Consider the following 23335-nt stretch of genomic DNA (forward strand, 5'->3'; position numbering starts at 1 on the left):
AGGAGTGGGCTGGAGGCAGGGAAAGGGGTTGGTGCCCCCTGCCCAGGGGAGGCACACCTGGGGGCACAGAATGACACTGGGTCCTCTCAGCTTCATCCATTTCCTGCTCCAGGCAGGGCCCTGGGCCTGGGCTGCAGGGATTCAAGGGAGAACCACACCCTCCTCCACTGCTGGGAGGGGCCGAGCCTGGCCTGGACTGCTGGCCCCAGGAGCCTGGGCCTGTGGTCAGGGCAGGAAATGGAGAAGATGAACGAGGAAAGGAGAAACTGCTCCAAATGGTGGGGAGGGAGGAGAGACGAGGGCAGAAGTGAGCCCCTGGCTCGGTGGGGGTGGGCTGTGGAGTGTGGGGGCACAGCGGGTTCCTTACTGAGCCCAGGGGGAGGCAGGGTCTGGAGTGTGGGGGCACAGCGGGTTCCTTGGCCATGGGGGTGGGCAGACGTGTTATCATGAAGCCGGGAGATCAAGGAAGGCTCTCTGAGGGAGGTGACATTTGTACCAAGCAAGGAAAGAGGCAGAAGATCCTTCTTCCAGGCTAAGCGCCATGTGAGAATGCAGCAGGTCGGGGCCACTGGCACTAGCGTGTGTGACAAGGGAATCTCAGGCTTCTGCTCACCTCTGCTGGGGGCAGAGACCCTGGCCAGAGCCATGGCCAACCTCCCCCCACTCCCAGCCAGGCCTAGAGCAGAGTGCCCTTGGAGGCTGGAGGAGGCCAAGTCAGCCTGTCCCATCCCTCCTGGGCCCCCGAGTCACCAGGAGATGCAGGGCTTAGCCTGGAGAGGGGCCTGTGCGGTTCCTGGGTGTTCAGGGGTGGGGTGGATGTCTGCTTTTCCTGGGGGCCCCACAGCTGGGCCAGGCTGTCCTCCCAGCAGAACGTGGGCTGCAGCACTGGCCACACAGACAGACCCTGGGGGGATTGTCCTTCTGCCACCTGGGCATTGGCACACTGGCCTTCCGCAGACACTCAGCAGGCCAAAGAGTGGGCTATCATCAGACGCTGGCCCCAGGCCTGCCCTGTTGTTGCGGGTGCAGTGAGGTGCCTGCGGCCAGGTGGGTGAGCGAGGTGCAGGCTGTCACTCACCAGCAGGGTTGGGGCTTGGGGGGACCCTGGTACAGGTGGAGTCCAGGGGTCTGCAGAGGATGGCTCGAGCCCTGCTACCACCATGCTGCTTTGAAAAAGGACTGACTTCTCTGCTGCCTCCGCCTCCCTGTGAAGTGGGACTGACATCCCCTGTCCTGGGGTGGCCTTGAGTGTGTGCAGTGCGTCTGGCACAGGCAGGTACCCCACATGTGTGCCCAGCATGTCTGGGAGGGCCAGGGTCGCAGCAGGGCCCCCACCCATCCTGGCTGGCTCATACTTGGCCACTGGCCACAGGTGACACCAACCCAGCCCCTGTGTGAGGTACTGAGAGCCCATCACACAGATGGACCAACCAAAGCCACAGATGACAGGTGGCAGGCCCGAGATTGCCTGAGGTCACATGGTAACACATGTGCACCCGGCAGTTGTTTCTGCCCTATCTGTGGTTCCCAGCCATTTGGATGTCACAGCCCCATCAAAGGTCCGCTACATATTCCCCCACCCCCAAAGGTGGATGGACATAGGTGGGCAACATTTTTATTACGCAAAAAAGGACATTTCGTAGAACAACATTACTCTAATGAAATACCACCATTTCATTCTAGAAAGGCTGAGGACTCCATCTCAGACCAGGGGCTGGTGGTGTCCTGGTTTTTTAACAAGAACTTGTTCTCACTCTGCCCCAGCGTTTGTCAGCCCAGCCATGGCTCCTATCCACGGCACTGGGCCCGCAGAGCTCCAGGAGCTGACATGCTCCGTCTTAAGGCAGGTCGGCTGCTCCGAGGACTGCCGGCCCTGTCAGTATGGTGTCCTTGCCCAGCTGGTATTGGCCAAGTTGACCGTGTCCAGGGGACAGAGAGAGGGGAGGGGCAGGTTGTTGGAAGCCTTTCTGCAGATGTAGCTTGGAGCAGTGTCCTAAGGGAGGCCAGCCCCTATGGGTCGGGACAGAGGCCTCACCAGTGGGATCCAGTCACTGGGGCTGAGGCCTGGGTGTGCAGGTGGGGTGGTGAGCCATGCGGCAGTAGCCCCTGGGGACTAGAGCAGGCTCCTTGTGGAGCTGTGCGGAGCTGGCCGGCCTGGTCCCCGTGGCTTCACCCTGAGCGTGCTGCTGCCTAGGCCCTGAACAGACAGAGGCAAGCCCTGCATGGCGCCCAGGGTGCCAGTGACTCTGGTTGCTCTCAAACCATGAGAAACGTTAGAACTTCTTTACCCCTCTGTGAGATGGGCTGGGCCTGGCCTCTGAGGAGCCTCCAGGAATGGCAGGAGGGAGGGTGGGGGATGGGGAGTGGGTGCTGCTGCCCATCGACGCTGCTGGGCAACTAACAAATTCAGCAAATTCTTCTTTTTATTGTGTATGTTCGACAACTGCCTTCACTTAAAGTCACTTTTTTCTGGCTCTCCAAATATACTTAGATAAGGAAACAGAGTCTATTTAAGGAACAATGTTAAGCAAACAATAGTACAGGTGTTCAAAGATATGGAATGAGTGACAGATGGGGCGAGGGACCCCGATGCAGCCCCACCCAGAGGACAGCGCACGCGGGCTTTGAAGTCCTTCCTGGCAGGCCCCGAATGTGAGCGGGTGGACCCAGGCCTCCTGGGGGCCTCAGCTCAGCTGGAGCCAGGGTCTCTGGAGGGGCCTGGGTTAGTTTCCTGTGGCTGCTGGAACAAGTCGCCAAAATTTTGGTGGCCTAAAATCAAGGTGTCCTCAGGGCTGGTCCCTTCTGGAGGCTCTAGGGAGAGTCCCTGTCCTGCAGTTTCCTGCTCCTAGGGGCGCCCACATCCCTTGGATCATGGCCCCTCCTTCACCCTCAAAGGCGGCTGCGGCTCATGGCATCCTCACATCACAGACTCTGTGCGTCCCCTGCGGCCACGTCTCCTCCTCTGACTCTGATCCCCTGCCTCTTTCCCGTATCAGGACCCTTGTCATCACATTGGGCCACCCAGAGAACCCAGGATTTTCTCCCCATTGCACGATCAGCTGCTTGGCTGCCTGAATTCCATGCAGCCTTGATTCCCCTTCAAAGGAAATCAAGTGGCAAAGGGGAATTGAGTGACGCATGCGTGAGTTCCAAGGATTAGGGCATAGACTCCTTTGGGGGCGCCCTGGGGTGGGGGGTGTTCCTGTGTCTCCCTGCAGCCCCTGCTTGGACACATGACCAGCTCAGGCAGTGCTGCCTCCGGGGGAAGTCAAGAGTCTCTGGTGAGTCTCAGACAGGCCTCAGAGTGTCTCAGGGTGGCCTCAGAGACAGGGGAGGCCCCTATGAGCTGGAGGGAGTGTGAGGACAGGGCCTCCTGTGAGAGGGCAGGTTTGACTTTTACTCTGCCGCTGAGTGACTGTGTGGCCCAGGCAGTCACCCCAGAGAGGTCTGACTGGCGCTTGCCGGGGTGGCTGTGTGCAGCAGGCATTGGGGCCCTGGAGATATTTGCTCTTTCTTTTTGTTTTATTATCCAGACTTGCAAGGCCCTGTGTGCCCCCTCGGGGCTGCACACGTGTACGCACAAACGCATGCCCAGTGTGACCCCTGTCCACACCTGGTGCCTGTCCCCTGTGCCCCTGTTTATCCCTTCTACCTACAGCCTATCCCCTACCCAGGCCCAGCCCTCCCAGCTCACCCTCTTCCAACCCAGGCCTGAGCTCTGTTCGGGTCTCTATCCTCCTGCCCTTTAGCCTCCTCTCTTACTGATAGAACATTCCAGAGCATTCCACCACCACTGGCCTGCAATTATCACCCCATCGCTGTGAGTGGGGGCAGGCTGAGGAAGCTGTGCTCGGGCCGGAGCACAGCCGGCCTCCTTGCAGGGGCAGCTGCGGGCGCGCAGACAGCTGGGGCTGGGAGCCTCTTCCAGGGATCCTCCGCCTGTGGTTTTCCTCCTTGACCTTCTTAGGAGGGTCCAGTTCCTTCTCCTGGCCAAGGCCCCACTCTCTGCCACCCCAGGCAGGGCCAGGGTGGGTCACCATCTGCAGAAGCCCTCAGGGGCCCCCAGCAGCGCCCCTCCTATCCCCCTGCCCCAGGGCGGGCTGCCGCCTTGTAACCCCCAGAACTCTTGGCTCTCATGTATATGAGTCAGCGTTGACTGTTTAACCTGTTGCAAGACACTCTGCTGGGTGCTGCGACATGGTTAGGTTTTCTCCACATTAGAAGGTAGAAGGAAGAAAAATAAGTTCTGAAAGAAACAGACTTGCCCTGCCTCTGCCCTGACCTTGAGGTGAACAGAGGTTTTGCACAGAACGACCATCCCTGCAGCGGGTGGCTTGGGGGGTACCACCATGATTTGAGACCCTGGGTGGTGCTGGCCAGAATCAGCCTCTATGAGATGGGCAGGGCAGTCCAGGGCAGGGGAAGCCCTGTGCCCCAAGATCAGATACATCAGCTACAATGAGAGGCATCAGGCGGCCTCAGGCCCTCAAGCCGGTCCCCATGTGCCCATTTGCAGTCTGTCTCATACTCACGGCCACCTGGCCACTGCACCCTGATACAGCAGTGGGGCCTTCATGCCTGTGGGGTGTCTGCCTGCCCAGCTGTGCCCACTCATGTGGTGGATTCATCCCAATGCTGGTCCTGGGGGCCCTGGGCTCCCCCCGGCCCTTTCTCGGGGCAGTTTACACTTTGCAGCTGAATCAATCAGGGGCAGAAATGCCTGGCAGGGGAATGTTTACCGATTTGGTTTTCTGGGGCTGAGGATGCTCGGTGTTTGTCCAGGCTCTGTCCTGCTGGCTCCTCTAAAGCTTTGCAAACAAGAGCCTCGGAGAGAAGGAGGCCTTCCCCTCCCCATGTGCTGAATTCGGGGCGGTCCTGACAGCCATGCGCGGGGGCCCGCTGTGGCCTCCTCTGCACGGCTGCTGAGGGAATGCAGGTCAAACAAAGTAGGCCAGCGGCTTAGGGACCCCCGAGTAAGCAGGCAGACCCACAGGAAATCCAGTGCTCCGAGCCCCCACACCTGTGGTGTGGCAGCCACCCAGCAAGACTGGACCGAGAGGCCACGTGGGCAGCCACCCTTGCCAGGTGGGCACAGGGAGTGCAGGTGGTTTGTTCTTGCCTCAGATCCAGGAGAGCAGCTTTTTTGCCTGAACCCACTCGTGAATTTTTCATATTTTTGGAGAGCTCCTTGTGAGGACAGCCGGCCTGAGCAGGCTTTGATGAACATTAGAGCAGGTGGCCACAATTGGGCAGATCTGGGCCTGGAGACCCAGTTGTCATGTTTGAGAGGGAAGGGGCATTCCCAGAAATCACAGGGATGACTGGTGTGAGCCCACCGCCCACCTAGACTCCCGTACCATGCGGGGCCCCTCATTGACTCCGAGGGTCTTCAAGGCCCTGTGCTCCTCCAGAAGGTGGGGTCTGAGGTGCTGCTGGGTGTCTCTCTTCACCTCTTCAGAAGCATTCATGAGGTAAGACCCCACCCCTTCAGGCCCTGGCACAGGCCTCAGAGCAGGCCCACCACCCAACTCACTGGTTCACTTAGGGGTAGAAATTATCCCAGCTTTTACCCAGAGCTCAGGGCCCAAGATGTCAGTTTGCCTGCCGGCTGTTGCTCTGACTGTGGCCTCCCTCCCAGCTCCCCGGCATGCAGCTCCCAGAGGGAGAACTTGAGCAGGGAAGGGAAGGGGCTCGAATCCCTACGCCAGTCCCTGCATGGCCCTATGGGGACTTGCGTCTCCCCGGAGGAGAGCAGCCCTGCGCAGCCCTCTCTTACTGATTCCTGGAGTCTGCACAGCTACATAGGGTCAGATTCACGACCTCCCAGCTTTAACCAGCCTTCTTGATTAGCCGCCATCTAAGGCCCAACTGTGCTTCGTGACAGGCCTTTGAGCCTAAAAGGAGTTGCCCCCAGCAATGACATCGGATGCCTGTTTAGTCAGCGGACTGCCTCAGAAAGGAATCTCACAGGCAGCGGGTTCTTCTGGTAGGGTGGGATATTTCAGCGGGAGGTAAACAGGTGTTGTCACAGAACGGCAGACTGGGGCCTCCCCTGGTGGGCCTTGAGGGTGCTGGCCTGCAGACCTGCTCCTGCCCGTTCTGGCCTGATCCGGGGCCTCTTGACTGCAGGTCTCTCGTGGGCTCTCAGCCCCAGGTGCCTGCCCTCACCCACGTAGCTTGGGACATCATCAGCCCATTGCCGGTACCCATGGTACCTTCACCACCCTCTTGGCCGCATTCTGAAAATCAATGTTTAGTCCCTCCTTGAACTTAAAAAGTCAAACTTAAAAAGAGATTATTACAGGGAGCTGGGGACTCAGGCTTGCACCCTGCCTGTTTAGGATAAAAGGCCACCGTGTGTCCACTCTAGTGTCTCTGCTCAAACAGGAGACGATGTGGCATCGGGAACACCAATGCGGCACTCAGAGAAGGCTCTTAGCCAGCTGGCCCCTGATGGGCTCACTGGCTGCACCAGCTTGTGTAGCAGCTGAGCTCCTGCAGAGCCTTCTGGGAGGGAAGAATGTGTTTCTTGCTCCAGTACTGCAGAGCATGTGATACCTGCAGGGGTGCAAGAGGTGCCTGAGAGCAGGCATAGCCAAGACTTGTTTGCGGTTGCTCCTGACGCAGAGCCGGCACATGAGGTGGCGTTCCCTCACTCTCTCATTCATTCATTTATTCGCCAGTGTTTCCTGGGCCCCATGCCATGCCAGGTACCTTACTAGGCCCTGGGGATAAAAAAGAGGACAAAAGAGATGAGACCTTCATCCTAGAGCTTAGGATGTGAACTGCGTCCTTCTTTAAATGGAAATTTCTAAATTACGGTGTACCGAATGCATCCACCCTTGGCCTCGTCACATGTGCTGTTGGGCAGTATTTTCCTACATTTTCTTCTGTGAAATTTATAATTCAGCCTTTGTCATTCAGGCCTGTCGTCGTGTCCAGGTGCACCTTTGCATTCGGAAGAATCCAGATTCCTTTTCCTCCGTGGAGTGACTCCCCTTCCCCACCTGCCCTGCAGCCATTCCATCCTGTCTATGGTGGTCGATGGTGTCATCTTTGTGGTCTAGTGTGTTCCCGAGTATACAAGGGTGTGTGATCGGGGCTCCCTCTTTGCACTGATAGTCTGCTGGTCGGAAGGACAATGGCGGCACCCCAAGACCTGATGCTCTGGTTTAGAAACGGGTTCTAATGCCCAGAAGAGCTCCTAAACCCCTATTTATAATAATCTCTTTTTAAGTTTGACTTATCTGTTTGGGACCTTTATTCCTCCATGCCAACTTTAAAGTTAAGTTTATTGCATTTCTTAAAAATTTCAACTGGAAGTTTGCTTGGGATTGCCTCGAATTTGCAGGTTAAATTTGGGAAAAACTGGAGTCTCTCTCATGTTGCGTTTTCTCCTCCAAGAACAAGGAGTCTCTCTGCATTGAGTCAGGCCCTCTTGGACCTCTGTTGCCATCTTTTCCTGAAAGGGCTGGTGGGGTCTTGCTTCCATTATTCCTGGATGAGACCTTCTTTCCCCTGCTATTTTGGAATTTTTTCTCCCAGGAGTTTATTGCTGGTATAAAGAAATGCCATTGATTTGGGGGGGTTGATCTCACACCTGACAACCATGTCATACTTTCTATCAGCTCTATTGATTGATCTTTTGATCCTGCTGATTGTCTAAGTGGATCGGTCCTATCAGGAGGAGTCAGCGTGACCACAGGCCCCCATTCCCCAGCCCCTAATGTTCTTGCCTCATGTCTTCAGGTGCGGGGCTGGCAGAGGCTGGGGTTACCTGACACTTGTCATCCTTCTGCTGGGCCTCAGCACCCGGCGGAGGCAGGGGCTTCCTCTGACACGATACAGGGATTTGCTGACGGTTCCTTGTCTGCTCACTAAGCGTGCCTTGGAGAAGGCCGCTCAGCGAGGGCCGCCTTCAGGCCTGAGCCCGGGGCCAGGACCAGGAGCAGGCGGCAGCAGCAAGGCAGCTCATCCTCGGCTGCCTCTTCTCCCTCACTACTATTTGGTTTTTGTTTTGTTTTGTTTTGTTTTTTGAGATGGAGTCTCATTCTGTCACCCAGGCTGGAGTGCAGTGGTGCGATCTCGGCTCACTGCAAACTCCACCTCCCGGGTTCAAGCGATTGTCTCACCTCAGCCTCCTGAGTAGCTGGGACTACAGGTGTGCGCCACCACACCTAGCTAATTTTTGTATTTTTGGTAGAGGTGGGGTTTCACCATGCTGGCCAGGCTGATCTCGAACTCCTGGCCTCAAGTGATCCATCCGCCTCGGCCTCCCAAAGTGCTGGGATTATAGGCATGAGGCACCATGCCCAGCCTCTTGCCGTCATTTTTTTTATTTTAAATAAACTTTGATTTTAGAATAGTTTTGGAATTACAAAATTCTTACACAGGTGGCACCAAGAGTCCCCAGGTGCCCTTCCCCCAGCAGCCCTATTATCAGCATCTCACATTAGTATGCATTTGTCACAAGGAAACAACAGTGCTACATGACTGTTAACTGAGTCCATGCTTGATGCAGATTTCCTCAGTTTCCCTACTGTCTTTTTTCTCTCCCCGGGCCCCACCCAGGGTCCCATGTGACATTCCTCATCCGTCTCCCTGGGCTCCTCTGGGCGGTGACTGTTTCCCAGGCTCTCCTTGTTGGTGGTGACCTGGACGGTTCAGAGGAGGACAGGTCAGGTGTTTGTAGGGTGTCCCTTACTAGGATCCGTCTGCTGCTGTCCTCACGATTCGACTGGGCTGTGGGTGTGAGGAGGGAGAGCACAGAGGGAAATGCCCTTCTCATCGCCCTGTTCCGAGGGCCCATCCTGTCGGTGTGGCTCGTCATGGGCGATGCTGTCTCTGTCTCCTGGCTCTGAGGCCGTGGCTGTCAATCTCTTCAACTGTGATTTGTTCTTTTCCCCCTTTGCAGACTGTCCTTGGACCCGCCAGCATTTGGCTCTGGGGCCCTAGAGAGACCCTGGGATGTGGATCACACTGGTGACCCCTGTGAGCCCCACTGGGGACAGATCCAGGAAGGGACCTCCTGGGAATGAGGTCTGGCCTCTGCCTGGATCAAAGCCATGGCCCCCATTCCCCGGGGATAGGGAAGCTGTGCAGGCAGCCTGGGTAATGGGCCACCGCCCCAGGCAGGCGTGGGAATCCACACATGGCCCTTCTCAAAGACGGGTGCTGTCCCTGGGGCTCTGGCGGGGTCCTGGAGCCTCTCTCATTGGGCACATCCGAGCCCAGCCTGGCCCATGGTGGAAATGCAAATCTAATTAGTCTGGCATTGAGCCCGTCTTAAAAGTATTAACAGAGCCTTAAACTGTGCTGTTGGACGGGGATGAAGAAACGCCTTAGAAAGAAATTACCGGATGGTGACAAAGCCCCAATTTATTAGTCTTCTCCAATGGGGACTGTGCAAAGGACATTAATTACTTTAATGGGACTTATTTTGCTTCGTTGCCCAAAGTAATTGGTTTATTAACCTCTCCTTCCCTTTAGGGAGGGAGGGAGGGAAAGACTGGGGCCTGGGGGTGGCCCCGGGAGGGGCTCGTCCAGCCTTCTGCTCCTCTGCCCAGCGGTGCAGCCTTGCACCCTGGGGCAGCCGGTGCTTGGTCCCTGCTGGCCTGGGCTGGGGCTGCCCCAGTGCCCACTGATCTATTCTTGTTCACTAGGCATCCACCGTGTGCCAGTCACTGGAATACGGCCATGAGAAAGACAGGACCCTCAAGAAACAACCTGTTCCCTGAAGGCCATAAGTTCACTGTTGTCACAGGTGCCCAGAGGAAAGGAAGATGGCTTTGGGGGTGGACACGTCTGGGCAGGCTTCTTGCAGAAAGGCCACAGGCTAGGATGGTGGGAAGGCAAGAGAATGCCGGGAAAGGGAGGACTGGTTGCCCACAGGGAGTGGGGGTCATGGGGGCAGGTTCCAGAGATCAGAAGGAGGTGGTGGGAAGAGGCACGCAGGGTGAGGCTGGCTGGAGGCAGGTGAGGCAGCCCAGCCTCAGGAGCCAGGAACCAGCTTCCCCGGGCTTTACCAGATGGGGAGCGATAAGGGCTGTGTTTCAAAACAATCCCTCTGGCGTGAAGCAAGCCGTCTTGAAAACAGACCAGAACCGGCTGCTTCCACCACCAGCAGAATACTTCAAGAAGACCACTCGGGCCTAGGGCTCTGCAAGCAATATCTGATTTTCAGAAAACCATGGCTCACCCACACTCTACCCTAGGAAAGGGCAGGTTCCCAGGGCTGGGCTTGTGGCCAGTGCAGCACTATCCTCAGTGGCCTGGGACACCCAGAACTGGCCAGGAAAGACCCCTACACAGACCCCCAGCTCTGCAGTCAGCCCTGTCTCCTTGTGTCCCCAGACCTCGGGCGAGGGAGAAGCAAGTTCCCCTCAGGAATGCTGGTGAAGCTGGCATGCCCCCACCCCCTAGCTCACCCTGGGTCCACGCAGGGCCTGCTCCCAGAGTGAATCCCAGAGGTGTGCCTGCCCCACCTGTCCCAGTAAGGGTGGTTGTGTGTGTTGGGTAGATGTGGTGAGGTGTGCTGGTGGGGAGGGTCCCTATCAGATGCCCCTGGGTACCTCCCCAGGCAGGGCCCTCAGCACCTGATGCCAAACCAGGCTCCACTCTTCCTCCAGGTGAGCCCGAGGGCCCAGCTGGGCGTCCACGTGGAGGTGTGGGGCCCGGGTGGGACAAGCCTGGCAACCAGGACCCAGCATGAAACTGCAGGTGCAGGAGCCCCAGCCAGCCTGGAATGTGGGGGCTCAGAGGCCACCCAGAGCCCACAGCAGGGACTCCCCACGCCAGGCCCGGCTGGATCACAGAGCTTCGGGTCCAGCCAGCTGCTGCTGCCCCTCCCTCTGGGCCTCAAGACCATCTGTCACGTGACAGGGGCAGGCTAGGCCTTTCTTGAACTCACTGTGAGCTACAGAGACTGTGTTCTGGCCAGGTGAATGGTGCCCCTGGGGGCCAAGATCCCCACCTCTGGTCTGGCAGCTGGGTGTGCAGGGGCAGCCCCAGACCTCCAGAGTGCCCTCTTCCCCTCTTTGCGGTTGTCACCCTGTCCTTGAGTCTAACTGGGGCTGTGCTGCCTTTGACGTGAGCTATTCAAAATGGCGGGAGGGGCGAGGCCTCTGGAGCAAGGAAAGAGAGTGGTGGCTGTGTCCAGCAAGTCCCTGTTGCCACTGATAGCATAAAAAGTAACTCTGAAACCTGGTGGCCCTACAGTTGACACACATGGGGCCGCAGGAGGAAGGAGGCTCAGGCCAGGCCAAACATCAGAGACCTCAGGTCTGTCTCCTTTACCAAATGGGGGGCTGTTCCGCCAGCACCCCAGTAGGGAGGATGAGAGGATGCCATGATTTCCAGGGTGGTGTCAGAACCTGTCTGCCAGGGCTCTGCAGGGAGGGGTTTGGGGTTGAGATTGGGAGACCTAGAAATCGAGGGGTGTCGGGGGCCTCGGCTGGGGGGCAAGCACAGATGAGGATGGAAGCAGCTCAGTGTCACTCAGTCTGCACTGGGAATGGGGGATCCCAAGGCCAGGGCTCTGCCTGGTGCCAACTGTGTGACCCTGGGCACGCTGCTGAGCCTCTCTGGGCCCCAGTTCCCTTATTCGTACAACGGGAATGATCGAGGAGTTAACATGTGTTTAAAAGCACCGAGGCTTGGCCGGGCGTGCTGCCTCACGCCTGTAATCTCAGCACTTTGGGAGGCCGAGGCGGGCGGATCACGAGGTCAGGAGATCGAGACCACGGCGAAACCCTGTCTCTACTAAAAATACAAAAAAAAAAAAAAAAAAAAAATTGTCCGGGCGCGGTGGCGGGCGCCTGTGGTCCCAGCTACTCAGGAGGCTGAGGCAGGAGAATGGCGTGAACCCAGGAGGCAGAGCTTGCAGTGAGCCAAGATTGCGCCACTGCACTCCAGCCTGGGCAACAGAGCGAGACTCCATCTCAAAAAATATATATATATTAGCTGGATGTGGTGGTGGACGCCTGTAATCCCAGCTACTCAGGAGGCTGAGGCGGGGAAACACTTGAACCCGTGAGTTGAGATCATGCCACTGCACTCCAGCCTGGGCAACAGAGTGAGACTCTGTCTCCAAAAAAAAAAAAATAAAAAGTACAGGGGCTCTACACGGCGCCCTGAGAATTGTGTGTAAATGAGTGAAAATGGGGTGAGAGGGAGGGAGTGGGAACAGCCAAGAGGCCAGGAAGCGGAGCCTGGGTGCAGGGGCATCTTGCTGGTGAAGCTGGGGAGAGACCTGCGCAACCCCACCTGAGTGAGGCACTGTGGGCCCAGAGTCCAGGTCAGCGCCAGGGGCAGCAGGGGCTGGATCTCTGGGGAAGTTGAGGAATGACATGTATTCCAGGGAAGAATTGGGCCGGAGGCTGAAACAGGACGACAGAGCCCTCAGCCCAGGGCGGAGGACATGGGAGACGGGGGTATAGCTGTTGGGCTTGTGGCTGGCCTGGCCTAACCAGTTGGGGGAATCCATGGGAGGCTTTAGCCCTGCTCTGTGAACTGCTGGGCCTTCCTTAGGGGCCCTGGGGAGCCTTCCCAGCAGAATGTCCAGGCTCCTGCTGGCCCAAGCTCCAAGTTCTCTGGCTCCCAGGGTCTGTGTGGAATCCACCGGTTTCACCCCACGTCTTTTCCTCTCCTGCCTGGTAACCCTCTCTGCAGAGGCCCTGGCTGGACCAGTTGCTTTGCAATTCACAAGGCTTTGGAAGGCAGTGCTCACAAATCACTTTTCTAGACGAAGACCAGTAAGAAGCCCATGTCATTCTTCTGAGACATTAGGGGTTTTCTCTCCCTTGTTTTAATCAACCAGTTCCCAATAAGTCATTTCAGTCAGGCCATTACCAATGGCTCATAATCTCCTGGGCTGCTGGGCGAAATGGGATCCCCTGGCTCTTTCACTGAAAACACTTTTCTTGTTTTCTTTCTCCGGCATGCTGGAAGCCGGCCAACTCGCCAGTTCCATTAACTTAATGAGGGCTGACAGCCTGCGACAAACGTCCTCATAATCTCCCCAGGATTTAAACGGGGTCCTCCCCAGCTGCCTGCCTACACCCCAACCTCGAGGCTCTTTACCTCTGTCTGTGCACCCACCCAGCCCCTCCTGGGAAAAAGCCAGGACAAAGATGTATTTCTTCGCTAGCTCCTTCCTGGTGGCTCTGTGCAGGCAGCCTCAGACCTGTAGGCCCTCTGCCCAATTTGGGTCACCCACAGCCCCCGCACCCCACAGCAATTTCTTGGGAGCTGATCATCCCCAAAGCTTGGAACTACAAGGCAGTGACTGGTTTTGCCGGGCTCCGCTCGTCCCTCTGAGCGGAGGGTCACCCTGGTCACCATGAAAACTTTATCCTCATCCACACCTTTCTTTCTCCAACTAGCATGGGAATCAGTTTAGGGTCCTCCCACACCCTCATCCAAACCCTCATCTCCCACCCCCCACTTGCAGAGAAAGCCCCACGCTCTCAGCAGAAACGGACGCCAGCGTTTAGGAGCGGGTGGGCTCCCGGAAGGGGGCTCTATGGGAAAGGGGAGGCAAGGCTGAGCAGCTGCCCAAAGTGAGCATCTGTCCCACGTTCCACCCCCAGGAAACCCTCTCTCCTGACGCGGGGACTTGCGTCTCAGTGCAGAGGGCAGTGGAGGGACAGTGCAGCTCCGAAATGAGCATCTGAGTTCACTGCTGGTGGGCACCATCCCGGCCAACAGGCCACTAGTGTGTTCTCCCTCTTTCAAACGGGGCGGCGACCCTCGTCTGACAGGCGGCTGTTCTGAGAGCGGTGGCTGTCCCAGGGAAGCCCTCGGTGAGCGTAGCGTTACCATGGTTTTTAAATTAAAGCATCTGCAGATGCGCTGTGTCCCTGCAAGGGCAGGCAGATCGGGACCCCAGGGACTGGTCCCCATAGCCAAGGTGTTCAGCCGCCCTGTCCCCTACACAGAGTGCCTCTCCCACTGGCTCAGGGTGAGGGCAAAATGGCACTTGCAGAACATGAGGCCCGGCCAGCTTTGCCCTATTCCCCCCATAGCATGGCTGACCTTCCTCTGAGCCCCTCGTGGATGCCCACACACGGCAAGACGTTTCCTCAAAGATGCTCTTCTGCAAAGCTGCACTTTCTCGGTTGCCGCTGCCACCTTGGCACCTCTCTGGGGTACCTTGTACTGCCCTGTCCTCCCCACGCCCTGAGGGGCCGTCCTAGGCAGCACTCACCCTGGTCATCCCTGTTTCCACCACAAGACTGTTTGTAGCCGAGCTTGGGAGTTGTGTTGTGTAGTGTTGACTTGAGTTGCATCGTGTTGTGTTGACTTGAGCTGAACTGTGCTGAGTGTTACTGAGTTGAGGTGACTGGGTTGATTTTAGCTTCACAGGTGATCTGAACCCAGCTGAGTGGCTTCCATGGAGCTGATCTGAACCCAGCTGAGTGGCTTCCATGGAGCTGATCTGAACCCAGTTGAGTGGCTTCCATGAAGCTGATCCGGACTAAGCTAAACTGAGTTTCATTGAGCAGCTTGTTTAGCTGGTGTGTGCCAGGTGGTCTCTCGGGGGGTCCGATGGGATACCTAGTGTCTTAATCTGTTCAGTCTGCTATAACCAAATACCTTAGACCTGGTGATTCATACTTAGGAATTCATTGTTCTGGAGACTGGGAAGCACAGGGTCAGGGCGCCAGCAGATCTGGTGTCTGGTAAGGGGTCTGTCTGATTCATGGAAGTCAGCGGGCTGTGTCCTCACGTGGCAGAAGAGGCAAAAATAAGGTGCAAACAAGCTCCCTCAGGCCTCCTTTCCAAGGGCACGCATCCTCTTCCTGAAGGCTCTGCCCTCACGGCCGAATCACCTCTCAAATGCGCCATCTCCTAACACCATCAGGGCTGCGGGTTAGCTTTCGACATAGGGACTTTGGGAAGACACACACATTCAGACTACAGCACCTTGCTCCTGGGGAAACAGAGGAAACTGGTTCCTTTCTTTCGGTTCTGGGTTATGTCAAAATGAGTTCCCTTTGCTGAATCTGTTTCAGCCACCTCTCCCGAGGATCCTCGCACAATTTCACTGCCAGCCAGGAAGGTCTGCCCTGGCTGGTCTGGGCTTGAGGACCAGCACGGGATCGTTCTCCTCTGTGGGTCGCTGATATGAAAACAATCTCACAAAGACGTAAGAACCACACATGCTTAGTGTCATGTGTGATGCATCAACCCAGGGGGAGGAGAGAACGTGCATTCACGCAGAACTCTCTCAGCCACAAGCTCTGTTTCTGTTGCATTTGGGCCAGGTTGCGAGGAGCCTGGCAGGCCACCCGGCCAGTGTGGATGTCATTACATGAGCAGTAGGAAGCCATACAGTATCTGAGGCGGGGGAGTCACGAGATCTTCAGTCTGTCCCTCGGAAAGCCCCTCCTGCCGCCACTCAGGGGGATGGGTTGGAAGGGGTGAGGCTGGAGCCCAAATAGGGAGTTCAGAGGCCTCCGTGTCTGCCCAGGGAAGGAGGGAGGCCAGCTTCAGCTGCTGTCCTGAGGGTTCCTGCCTGGGTCCCTGATCCCCCTGAGAAAGGGCTCCCTCCCAGAAAAGGCATGTGCCCTGGGCAGAGCCAGGAAAGCTGGGGATGTCTCAAAGCCTCCCTACCTGCTCTGTGTCCCCTCCCTCTGGAGCCTGCCTCTCTCCCGAGCAAAGTACCTGCCACCTGGGAGTGATCTGGGACAGTCAGATGCACCTTTTGAAGTATACACCTCAGTGGCTTTTGGTATATTCAGAGTCATGCAACTTCACGACTCTCTAACTTTAGAGCATTTTCATCACCCTCAAAATGTCCCTTGCATCCCAGGTACAAAGCCATACCAGGCCCCATGGGGATGGCTTGTGACTGCTGCACATCCTGCCCCTGGACCTTACTCTAGTTCTTCTTTCATCCACTGGTGTATTCCTTTGGCCGGGGACACACACATTTGAGAAACTTCCCAGCTTCCCTCTATCTGAGGCTCACTCCATTACAACACAAGGAACTGAGACATCTGTGGCTGGTTTTTTTTGTTGTTGTTGTTTTTCCAAATTGTATATCTGATAAGGGATGTGTATCCAGAATATACAAAGAGGTCTTACAACTCAATAATGCATTGACCCAATTAAAAAATGGGCAAAGGACTTGAGCAGACATTTCTCCAAAGAGCAGATACAAATGGCAAATGATCACAGGAACACATGCACATGAACACACGCTCAGCCTCAGCAGTCATTAAAGAGATGCAGATCAAAACCACAGTGAGGTTTACACCCAGTAGGATGACTAAAACAAAAAAGACAATAACAAGTGTTGGCAAGGATGTGGACTGCCAGAGCGAGGCTAGCCATGCCATGTATCTGGAGGAGGGCCCTGGAGGGGTGTGCCCATTGCATGTCTGTGTGTTCCCATGCAGTGGGCACAGGCAGTGGTGCCAGAAAGAGCCTCTGCTGGGCTTTCTCACCACCCCAGCCTCTCACCTGCAGCCCAGGCATCCTCCAGTGGGTTTTTCAGGGAACTTAACATGATGAGTCTAAAATTTCTATGGCTGAATAAAGAACTGAATAAAAATAACCAAGAAGATCAAGGAAGGGCCCTGCCTTCCAGATATCAGGATGTGGAAGAGGCTATACTAACTAAGATGTTGCAGTGTAGGCACAAGGGTAGACAATTAGCCCATTATCCCAGTGGACAAGACAGAGAGCCCTGAAGAGATCCATACAAATGTGGGACATTGGCATGTGACCAAGGAGGTGTTGCAGGTTGCTGGAATCAATCATCCTCCAGAAGGAAAAAGCTAGAGTTGGGCCCCCACCTCATGCAATCTATAAAAACTGACTCCAGGTGGATCTAGGAATTAAATGTTAAAAGCAAACCTTAAAACTCTTACTGGATAATATACGTTTATTAGTATCTTTTATAACTCGGCATAGGGAAATATTTATTTTACAAGACACAAAAGCATTGACTGTGAAAGAAAAACATTGGTCAATTCGATTTTACAAAATAAGAATCCCTCATCATCCAAAGATACCTTAAAGAACGTGACAAGTTGCAGACTGGCGATTGCACTAGTTTTCTGGCACTGGTTTAACAGGTGACCCCCAACACACATCAGAATAACAGACGTTTACTCTCTTTCACTTCTGTCGGTCAGAGGTCCAACCCCAGGTCTGATGGGGCTGGAGGGCGTCATTAGGGCTAGAGGTCCTAGGGGAGGATCTGTGTCCTTGCCTTTTTCAGCTTCTAGGGGTTGTCTGCATTCCTTGGCCTTTAGCCCCTTCCTCTATCTTCAGAGCCATCATGTTCCTCCTCTCTGACATTTTTTTTCGTAATCACAGCTCTCTCTGACCACAGCCAGGAAAGAGCCTCCACTGTTTGTTGTTGTTGTTTTTGTTGTTGTTGTTGTTGTTGTATGGTTTTGCTCTGTGACCCGGGTTGGAGTGCACTGGCGCAATCATAGTTTACTGTAACCTTGAACTCCCTGGCTCAAACGATTCTTCCACCTCAACTTCCTGAGTAGCTGGGACTACACGCACGTGCCACCGCGCCTGGCTAATTTTGTTTAATTTTGTGTAGAGGTGGAGTCTCTCTATGTTGCCTAAACTGGTCTTGAACTCCTGGCCTTAAGTGAGCCTCCCACCTCACCCTTGGCCTTCCAAAGCACTGGGATTATAGGCATGAGCCACTGTGCCTGGCCAGGGCCTTCACTTTTAAAGACTTGTGGTTAATTGGGCCCACCTGGACAATTCAATATGATTTCCCCATCTCAGTGTTCATGACCTTAATTACAGATACAAAGTCCCTTTTCCATATAACGTAACATATTCATAGGTTCTAGGACATCTTTGGGGGAGCCCTTATTCTGCCTACCAAAGAAATGGATATTCACAATACAATGAATTGATAAAGAATTGGTGTATGTATAACTAATACATAACATGTATAATGTATTTATATATGTGTGTGTATAACCAATAAAATCACTAATAGAAACTAAAATAACGAATCAATAAATATACAAATTATCAGACAGAAAAATGGCCAAAGACAAAGACTTGTTCTGCCCTTCATGGTCGAGGAACACATGTGGCCAGTGAGTACGTGAAGGCACCATTTACAGAAACCATTTACACCACTCCATTGGCATAAACCACAGTCTGACCATTGGGAGCGGTGGCAGGGATGTAGGGCCCAGGGTCTCTCCTACATTGCTGATGGGAGTGTACAGTGGGACTACCACTTTAAAAGGGTGGCATCACCTCCAAGGTGGTGAATTCACATACCTGTTGACCCAGCAGTCCCATATCTGGGCATACACCAAAAGGGAACTCTGGTGTGTGGACGAGTGAGAATGAACAGGAGTGTGTGTTGCAACGCTGTTCACAAGCTCCACGTGCAACCAGCCACTTGCCTCCCAGCAGGAGGGAGAGTGAGTAAACATGGAATGCCCATACAAAAGAGAATTTTAAACTAATTAAAGCAAACAAGCCAGAGTGACAGACAACCATGTGGGAAGGCTTGGCAATATAATACCAAGGAAAAGCCCACTGCATTCTTATCAAGTTTAAATTACTAAAATTAAAAAAAAAAAAAAAAACATGACTTTTGGGACACATATAGTTTCAATAATATTATATTAAAAAAGAAAGCAAGGGAGAGAGGAACACAGGATTCAGGTTGATGGTTACCCAGGATAGGGGAGACAAGGATACAGTTGGGGTGGAGCTGTCAGGGTCCAGCATTTATTTTGTGTTTTGTTTGTTTGTTTTTGTAGAGATGTGGTTTGGCCGTGTTGCCCAGGCTGGTCTTGAACTCCTGAGCTCAAAGCAATCCGCCCACCTTGGCCTCCCAAAGTGCTGGAATTACAGGTGTGAGCCACCACACCTGGCCGTCTAGCGTTTATTTTGAATAACGAGTCCTTGGGAGCTTTCTACATTGTTTTTAAAAACTAATTATATGACATTTTATAAGAAAATTATATTAGCACAACCGGGAGAGATTTATTCTAGGTAATGCAAGGCTAGTTAACATTCAAAACTTAATTAATGTGATCTATTATGGAACTTTCCCAACTTGATCAAGAGCATCTTAAAAAAAAAAAAAAAAAAAAAAAAAAAAAACCCACAGCTAACATCACATCACACTTAATAGTGAAGAACAGAATACTTTCCCCCTAAAATAAAAAAGAAGGCAAGGGTATCTGTTCTCACCACTTCTATTCAATATAGTACTGGAAGTTCCAGCCACTGCAATAAGACAAGACAAAGAAATGGGACATGTAGATTAGAAAGGAGGATCTAAAACTGTTTCTATTTGCAAAGATAGAATTGTCTATATAGAAAATCCCAAGGAATCTACAATAAAAATATCTGGAACTTAGGAGTTCAGCACACAAAAATCACTTGCATTTCTATACACTAACAATGAACCTGTGAAAACCAAAATTAGAAACAATACCATTTACAATTGCGCTAAAGAAATTAAAATACTTAGGTATAAATTTAACAAAACATGTAAAGATGTATATACTAAAAACTACAATATGCCAATGAAAGAAATCAAGACCTAAATCAATGGAGAGATATTCCATGTTCATGAACTGGAAAACTCAAAATAGTAAACATTTCAGTTCTCCTTAGAATTACCTATAAATATAGCATAATTCCTAACAAGAATCCTAGCAAGATTTCTTATGGACATGGACAAACTTGTTCTAAAATCTATATGGAAAGGCACATGCTGTAGATTAAAACAATTTTGAAAAAGAATTCAGTGGGAGAAATCACTCTACCAATTTTAAGGCCTACTATACAGTAAGGAATCAATATGATTTGATATTGGAGGAATAAGCATGTAGCTCAACAGAACAGAACGAGGAATCCAGAAATAGACACACGCAAACATGCCTGACTAATTTTAAGACAAAGATGCAAAATTCAGCGGAGGAAGACTCCTCTTTCAACACACGGTACAGGAGCAGTTGGTCATTCATAGGCCAAATAAATAAATTAAAACCCTGACCTAAGTCTCACACTTTATATAAAAATTAACTCAAGAGCCACCTTGGACTTAAATATGAAGTGTACAACTCTGAAACCTTTAGAAAAAACATAGAGGAGATAGTATTTAGGATTTAGGAAGGGCAAACAGTTCTCACATTGGATGCTAAAAGCATGATCTGTTTAAGGAAAATTGATGAAATGGACCCCATTAAAACTTAAAACACTTGTTTTGTGAAAGCCCCAGTGAAGGGGATAAAAATGCAAACTATAGACTTGGAGAAAATATGTGCAAGCCACATATTTGACACCTGGCATCTAGAACATGAAGTACTCTCAAAACTCAACAGTAAAAAACAGCCTGTCCAACTAGAAGATGGGCAAAAGACACGAAGAGACATTTCACCAAAGAAAATAAATAGGGAAGAAGTACACCAAAAGATGATCAACTTCGTTAGCAAAGATGGAAATGCAGATTAAAACCACAGTGAGCGGTCACTACGCACCTATCAGAATGGCTAAAATGAAAAGTAATGATGACACCAAATGTTGGCGAGGATGTGGAGAAACGGGATTGCCCATCTGTTGCTGCTGGGAATGTAAACTGATGCAGCACTCGGGGAAAATAATGTGGTCGTTTCTTATAAAAGTCAGCATGCGACTACCACACATCCCGGCAACTGAACTCCTCCTGGGCATTTATCCCAAAGAAACGAAGACTCATATTCATACACAAAACTAAATGAAAATTTATAGAAGCTTTATTCCTAACTAGCTGAAAGCTGAGAACAATCTATGTATCATTCAACAGGGGAACAGGCAAACAGTGGTGCATCCCTACCCTGAAACACTACCCAGCAGTAGAAAGGAACCCACTATCGGTACAACCTAAGCGGATCTTACGGGAATTGTGCTGAGGAGAAAAAGCCTCCCCCGAAAGGTCGCATGCTGTGTGATTCCGTATAGATAACATTCTCAAAGTCCAGGCTGTAGGGATGGAGATCAGATGGTGGTTCCTGGGGTTGGGAATGGTGAGGGTGGGAGTGACTTGCACAGGAGACGCAGAGGGGGTCTTTCTGGTGGGGAGGACTTCCATTCCTCGTTGCTGTGTGAATCTGCACGTGTGAACACAAGGCAGAGCCACGCACACTGTACCAATGTCAATCTCCTGGCGTTGATCTGTTACTCCACCCATGCAAGGTGTGACCGTCGCGAACTCACGTAGAGGGCATACAGGACCTCTTGGTACTTTTTTTTTTTTTCCCAACTTCCTAGGAGTCTATAATTGTTTCAAAATAAAAAGAAGCAAAACAACACACTGGGAGGTGCAGGAAACCACACACGTGATGTGCTTGTGTCTGCTGACATAAGTGCTCAAGGAAGAGTCTGGAAGGCCTGCAAGGCCCTCATGCCTACGAGGTGGCTGCTAGGGGGATGTGACGTAGAGTGACTTCAGTTTCCCTCTTCATGTCTCCTGGGTCCTCCAGCACTCTGGGTTTCCTCTGCCAAGACCCCCACCCATCTGCCTCTCTTCATCTCACAAGCCTGCATGTGTGCAGAGGGCAGGGGTCCCCAGGGGATGTTCCTTCCCCAAGGCGCTGTGGCCACTTAGAGGGTCCCCCAAGCTCGGGCCTTTGAAGACAGCTCTGTGTCTCCTAGGACGCACAGGTGTGGGACCTCACTGCGCGGGAGGGAGTTGCAAAGAGCGACACCCCAGCATGTGGGAAGGAAGGGAGCGAGCTCTTATTTCCTTATTTTCTTTCCATCTCCACTCCCAGGCAAAGCTGATAAATTCTTCCTTATTCCAGAGTTAGAGGATCCTCCAGAAGGGGCCGAGAGCTTGTCCAGGCAGGGTGGATACAAGGGGCTTGCATCTGACTTAACTGTCTGGCTGGGGGAGAGGGGACAGAGGTCCTGGGAGGGGCTGAAGGCTCAGGGACACAGGTGAGGCCAGCCCCTCCTCCACCCTGGGCATCTCCAGGCCCAGCCCCACCCTGAGCTGTACTGGACCCAAGCCCCAGGACCCCCTGGAGTCACCTCCAGCCCTCCCACATGCCAGCCCCTACCCTGGGCCTCAGGATCTGCCTGGATGGAGGCCAGGCCGCTGAGCTGCTGGGAATCTGTTCCACAGGTGGGAAGGTCGGCCCGCCATGGGCAGCCCAGTCCGGGAAACTTCCTGCCTCTGCTTTCCCACAGTGTCCTTCGATGGCCCCCAGTGACGTGTGTTGAATGTGGCGCTGGCCCCTTGGGCAGCCCAGCAGCCCCCACCCCAGCCAGCCCAGCCTGGGCAGCACTGGGGGCTCCTGGCTTTGAATTTGACCTATCCAGAAACAACGGCTCCTTCAGTGGGCTCAGCCCCTGAGACCACTCAGCCTGGGCTGTGTGCCCAGCGGCACTTCATGTACGTGGACGGGGCAGGCGGGCAGGCGGGCGTGGAGGAGCTAATGGGTAAGTTAGGCAGCACATTAACAAATGAACCAGCGGATGGGGGTGGGGAGCTCATCTCATTCATCTACAAATTATTAACAATAACTTGTTCATTAATGAATGAACAGGTGAGATACAGGTCAGTGGGTGCATGAATGAGTGAGGAGATGAATGAAGCGGGTCTTTTCTCAGCAGCTGACCCACGGCCAAGCCCCCGCTGGGCAGCACGTCCCTTCCTCCTCTCCCAAGCTGGGTGGTGCGGGCAGGGAGAGGGTCCATCCGCCCTTCAGTAGGTGAGGAAGCCACGGGCCTGGAGGGTGGCCCAGCCCAGGCAGGAGGGCACCAGCCCCGGGCCCTCAGTGCCTTCCTGCAACCAGGGTCCAGGGGTCACTTCCTTCACGGCCCAGTGAGCCCAAGGCCTCCGTCCTGCCCCCTGTCTCTTACCAGCTCGCTCCTGCATCAGTGCTACTGAAATGGGAAAGGTTTCCTTGTCCCCCTTGCAGGACATGTGACAGGGGTGTGGCTCGCTTCTTCAGTGCCCCACTACTCAAAGTTCTAGGGGAGCATACAGTCGGACAGGTTGTGGGGCTCCGACCCCACAGCAGCGTCTAGGGGTGAATGTTTACAGCTGAAGCCCCATGGGTGTGTGTTACAGGGTGCTCTTTAGTTTAGCCGTCCATAGACAGCTTGCGTTAGTCAGCTCAGTTAGACCCCCTGCCTTACGGCAAGGGCAGAGGTCTTTCTGTATCCCGAGGTTCTTGCCTTGGCGTACTGGAAGAATCAGATCACACGTGGGCTTGGAGAATGAGTGCAAGGTTTTATTGAGTGGAGGTAGCTCTCAGCAGATGGGGGAGCAAGAAGGGAGATGGAGTGGGAGGGTGGTTTTCCCCTGGCATCAGGCGGCTCAGCAGCCTGGGCT

General features: G+C 53.6%; 1 protein-coding gene across 5 annotated transcripts in view, besides 2 other annotated features; it reads left to right on the forward strand.

The window, feature by feature from the left end:
• Window positions 1-23335, forward strand: part of KCNQ1 (potassium voltage-gated channel subfamily Q member 1) — a 404098-nt gene that overhangs the window by 292864 nt on the left and 87899 nt on the right. The window lies entirely within an intron of this gene.
• Window positions 795-1653: an enhancer, noted in NCBI's record as "H3K4me1 hESC enhancer chr11:2759896-2760754 (GRCh37/hg19 assembly coordinates)". NCBI's record gives its function as "activates a minimal SCP1, AML or CMV promoter by ChIP-STARR-seq in naive H9 embryonic stem cells {active_cell/tissue: H9 hESC(naive)}" and the evidence as "EXISTENCE:reporter gene assay evidence [ECO:0000049][PMID:30033119]".
• Window positions 3224-3860: an enhancer, noted in NCBI's record as "H3K4me1 hESC enhancer chr11:2762325-2762961 (GRCh37/hg19 assembly coordinates)". NCBI's record gives its function as "activates a minimal SCP1, AML or CMV promoter by ChIP-STARR-seq in primed H9 embryonic stem cells {active_cell/tissue: H9 hESC(primed)}" and the evidence as "EXISTENCE:reporter gene assay evidence [ECO:0000049][PMID:30033119]".

Source organism: Homo sapiens, chromosome 11 (assembly GCF_000001405.40).
Source record: "Homo sapiens chromosome 11, GRCh38.p14 Primary Assembly".
NCBI lineage: Eukaryota > Metazoa > Chordata > Mammalia > Primates > Hominidae > Homo > Homo sapiens.